Raw genomic sequence first — 5,329 nt, 5'->3', positions numbered from 1 at the left:
CCAGCCTAATGTTATAACCTTCCTCCCTTCTCCCATAGGTTCCAAGCCCCAGCGTTATGGTTCCTCCTCTTTTTTCACCTTCACATGGTTGGTTTCTTCTTCATCTTCAAATGTCACTTACATTTCCTGACCAATTTAGAGTAGGCATCATAGTTCTTCTCTATTGCATCTCTCTACTTCAGTCTCTACAGATGCCACTATCAATATTTCACTGTTGCTTCATTGATTAACTCTTTTTACTCTCTCCTTTCATTCTCCAGCTCTAAGCTCCATGACAACAGGGACCACATTTCTCTTATTTCTTTGCTGTATTCCAGCACCTACAATAGTGTGCTCGACATATGAGTTGAATGAATAAATGAATGAGATGGTAAAATCCCCTCCCACCCCCCAAAATCAACTATTTTGCTTTGCTTTCCTTCATTTTGTTTTGTTTTCCTTAAGCTAAAAGAATCTGGTTTTATTTTCTAGGTATCAGACAGCGCTTGTTAAAAATATTGCTGGCTCAGTCTAGCAGTCATTCTTAAGATGTCTACTTTATTTTTTAAAACTTACTTATTTGATGTATTAATTATACATCCTGATTGTTCTATTAATTCCATTTCCTCAAGCAGATGATTTTCCATTTATTGAGCCTGTTGTCGCTCTCTAACATTGTTAGAGATCAAATGTCTCAGGAAGGGGAGACATAATGGAGTGAATCTGGCTGATGACCACCATGGTCATTCCCCAGCAAACCACCCCTTAGGTTTCCCCTGGACTCTGCCTGCCCCGACTTCTTCCATCTCAGATAAGGAGGACCCTGTATGCTGCTAACATCTATGGACGTGTATGCATGGCCATCTCTTGGCTTGTGGCATCCCTCTTCCATCGTGTCCCATCTGCTCTCAACCTTTTAGGGATTATAGAGTAGGTGGGAAAGGGCAGCATGCTTCTAATCCACCGTTTTGGAAACAAAGACAATAAAACTTGAAATCAATTTCCAGAGTTTTCAAAAGCTCAAAGCTTAAGTTCAGGGACTCTTACCGTGACTGCAAAATTAATTCACAAATAGGCCGGGCACGGTGGCTCACGCCTGTAATCCCAGCATTTTGGAAGGCCAAAATGGGCAGATCATGAGGTCAGGAGATCGAGACCATCCTGGCTAACACGGTGAAACCCCGTCTCTACTAAAAATACGAAAAAATTAGCCAGGCGTGGTGGCCGGCGCCTGTAGTTCCAGCTACTGGGGAGGCTGAGGCAGGAGAATGGCGTGAATCCAGGAGGCGGAGCTTGCAGTGAGCCGAGATCGCGCCACTGCACTCCAGCCTGGGCGACAGAGCGAGACTCCATCTCAAAAAAAAAAAAAAAAAAAAAAAAAAAATTAATTAATTCACAAACAAGGCTGCCTGCTCCACGTGTAATTTATGTTTCCCAGTGAAATTACCCCTGAAAACTAAAGGAAAGTTTGTTTTGAGATGTCCATGATGTGATTTCATATTGGATATTGGTTTTGGAATTAAAATAGAAAAAAAATTAGCTGGGAGTTTAAACTTAGGTTAAATAATCCTATCTCAACCACTAAATAAGCAGATGGACCTTTGACAAATCACTAGACTCTTTTTTTTTTTTCCTGTAGAGTCAGGGTCTTGCTATGTTGCCCAGGCTGGTCTCAAACTCCTAACATCAAGTGATCCTCCCACCTCAGCTTACCAAAGTGCAGGATTATAGGTACCTGCCACCATGCCCAGCCACCAGACTCCTTAAGTTTCAACTTAATGACAGGAATTGGACCAGATAAACTTCAAAGTTACTTCCAATTCCATGACACAATGAAAAGTGAAAGAAAGGGTGAACTCAACTGACATTACTCCAGTGCAACTCTTTAATTTTTTTACATAACTGCTAACTAACAGCTGAACCTCATGGGGTAGTAATAATGGCCATATGCTCTGTTCATGAATGGGAGGACACTGATGAGAGTAATTCTGGAAGTATGTAATTGTCCTCTGTGTAAAATTCAGCCTGGGAGATATAGGAGTAATTAGAGATAAAGAAGCCAAAAGAAAGTGACTAGAAATGGTCAGGAACGTTGAAGGAAAATCAGGAGTAAGTAACATGAAGGAGGCAATAGCAGTGAGGGAGAGAGGTGGAATGACAAAGACAGGGGACAATATATGAAAGTGATGAAAGTGTAGATGGAGCAGTGGCTTCAATGTTGGCTACAGGTGGTTTTGCTTCATGGCTCAAGAGAACAGAATGGTGAAGGGAATGAGAGGGGGAAGGCTCTATCTCCTGCTGCAGAGAGCCCCTTTTCCTTTGGCAATGACAGAAAATAGGACTCTTTTTTTTAAAGCTGTGTCCCAAGGGCCTTGTTTTTTCCCTCCTCTTAGGATTTGTCAGTGTCCTGGGTAGAACCTGTGCACTAGGATGGTGCTGTGCAGACCCTCCCAGTCTCCAAGGAGTTTGTATTGGTCTGTTCTCATGCTGCTAATAAAGCCATACCTGAGACTGAGTAATTTATAAAGGAAAGAGGTTTAACGGACTCACAGTTCCACATGGCTGGGGAGGCCTCACAACCGTGGTGGAAGATGAAGGAAGAGCAAAAGGATGTCTTACATGACGGCAGGCAAGGGGGAATGTGCAGGGGAACTCCCCTTTATAAAACCGTCATATCACATGAGACTTATTCACTCTTATGAGAACAGCATGGAAAGACCGGGCCCCAGGATTTAATTACCTCCCATCATGTCCCTCCCATCACATGTAGGAATTATGGAGGCTACAATTCAAGATGAGATTTTGGTGGGGACACAGCCAAACAATATCAGAGTTGATGCTCATTGGTCAGAGATGGTTTGGGAGAAAAGGTGTACTTCTCATCCCACCTCCTGCAGGCATGAACGGCACAAAAAAGTGGAGGAAAGGGGGATTCTCTCTTTCTCTGCCTAACTGCTTGAGCTAGGACATACATCTCCTGCCCTCAGACCCAGACCGGGACTTGCACCACTGACCTTTCTGGTTCTGGGCCTCCTATGCTGGGAATTACAGCACTGGCTCCCTGGTTCTTAAGTCTTTGAGCTTGGATTGGTACCTACATCACTGGCTTTTCTGGAGAAGATGGTGCTGTCCAGGGCCTTCCAGTCTCCAGGGAGTTGATGTTTACTGGTCAGGGATGGTTTGGGAGAGAAGACGTATTTGCCATCTTAACTTTGCTGCAAAACCCTCTTGCTATGGATGAGGCTCCAGGGAGAGAAAATGCTTACACACAGCCACCCAGCCAGGTCAGGAATGACTAATTCCACACTCCAAATCCAATGCTTTTCCCCATAACACTAAACTGTCACCTACGTAAAAACATGAATCACCGCATATTAGTGGTTTAACAGTGGCTGTGGGTGGTAAATGTCTTGACCTCGAGGAGTACCTGTGACATGAGGCAACTCAGCAGAGGTGAGAATGGGGATCTCAGGCCACCGTTTCAGGACCGCTCCTCCCTCACTTTGTAGGGCCTGCGCTGTACCTACCTGAGCCTGGTAGCAGAAGGAGCACCTCTCTCCATAGCCAGCGTTGAAGGGTTCCCATGGTCTCCCAGAAGGCACAAAGATAGGCTCTTAACTAAATCAAACTCACCTTAGGTAAGTCTACCTGGACTGTGGTGGTTAGTTATATATCAATTTGACTGGGTCACGAGATGCCCAGATATCTGGCTAAACATTATTTCTAGGTGTGTCTGTGAGGGTGTCTCTGGAAGAAATTAGCATTTGAATTCATGAGCTGAGTGAAGCAGATGGCCCTCTTCAATGTGGGTCAGCATTATCCCATCTGCTGCAGGCCTGGATAGCACAAAAAAGTGGAGGAAAGGGGGATTCTCTCTCTCCCTTTCTCTGTCTAACTGCTTGAGCTAGGACATAAGTCCCCTGCCCTCAGACCCAGACCAGGTCTTGCACCATTGACCTTTCTAGTTTTCAGACCTGATTGGTGGGAATCACAGCACTGGCTCCCTGGTTCTCAGGCCTTTGGGCTTGGATTGGAACTTACATCACTGGCCTCCCTGGGCCTCTGGCCTGCGGAGGGCAGATTACAAAATGTCTCAGCCTCCACAATCACGTGAGTCAATGCCTCTGTATAAATATCTTTCTTTCTCGCGTTCTCTTTGTATGTGTGTTTGTGTGTGTGTGTGTATATACATATATGTGTGCATGTGTCTCTTTATATGTGTGTGTGTATATATATATCCTATTGATTATTTTTCTCTGGAGAACCCAGACAAATACATGGATCAATGGTGATTTCTAACATGGAAGTAGCCATCCTGATGTGGCTTATTTTGGTCTGTGAATAGGGAGAGGGCCTTCTCCTCTCATGGGTCGAGCACACACTCAAGGAGGCTGTCTTCAGGCCAAGGTCACCCTTGTGAACACTGATTGGTATGAAGAAGAGGTGAACACAGGTGTGATGGAACCAACGTCTTTGTTCCCACCTAATAGCTACCTGCCTTCTCTTCCAGTTTGGGAGGGTGACGTGCCAGGTCCTGATAGGAAGGCAAAAGTGGCTCACCTCAGCTGCTCTACCAAGTACCCCACAGAGGGTAAGGAGGTTTCCAAACCAAAAAGTTTTGCCCACCCATAGTTTTTGGTTAAACCTCATGAAACTGCCAAAATTTAAATTTCTTGACTTAGAAAAATGGTAATTCTGTGGGGTTCAATCTAATAATAACTGCTATTTATTGAGCACTATGCTAAAAGCTTGCTTGTATTATCACATTTAATCCTCAAAACAGTCGTAAGTGTTAGCAACAGACATTGTTATCTTTCTTACAAATAAGGGATTGAGGCACAGAGAACTTAGATAACTTACCCCAAATAAATCATGCAGCCAACAGTTAGCAGCCTGACTCGGGCACCCACATTAGCTGCCATCTCTCAAGAAGCATGAGGACCCCTCACTAAGCAGAGGAGAGACCAGGAGACACTAGAAAGGCCATTGGACAAAATCAGAATGACAAATGGGAATTCTCATTTTCACTACACAGAGGTGTGAGAGTCCATCCCCGCCTGTTGCAAGCTTGGCAGGGGAACAGGAGAGAGAATACCTGCAGGTGCCTTGTCAAAGGAAGATGAGAACGACGCTGTGGAGGGGAAAGGGCAAGGGCCTGCCATGTCCTGAGTGATGGGAGCTGGAGGTAGCCGCCACCATCTGTGGTCTTGACCCATATGCAGTGAAGCACAGGACCTGACAATACCAATGGGCTTTGTGGCCTGTGGACCTGGGCACTATCACCCTGCTGCTTCCTGGTGGAGAAGTCTGTGAAATGCCCGTCCATAGAGGGAGGCTGCTCAGGGAGACG

At 45.2% G+C, this 5,329-nt stretch overlaps 1 annotated feature.

Annotated features, from left to right (window-relative positions):
* Positions 3,098-4,297: an enhancer, noted in NCBI's record as "P300/CBP strongly-dependent group 1 enhancer chr21:39345582-39346781 (GRCh37/hg19 assembly coordinates)". NCBI's record gives its function as "activates an origin of replication core promoter dependent on BRD2, BRD4, P300/CBP, MED14 and CDK7 cofactors, with strong dependence on P300/CBP, by STARR-seq in HCT116 cells {active_cell/tissue: HCT116}" and the evidence as "EXISTENCE:reporter gene assay evidence [ECO:0000049][PMID:35650434]".

Source organism: Homo sapiens, chromosome 21 (assembly GCF_000001405.40).
Source record: "Homo sapiens chromosome 21, GRCh38.p14 Primary Assembly".
Lineage (NCBI taxonomy): Eukaryota > Metazoa > Chordata > Mammalia > Primates > Hominidae > Homo > Homo sapiens.
The sequence above is the reverse complement of the archived record's forward strand: the minus strand, read 5'-3'. Positions and strand labels throughout refer to the sequence as shown.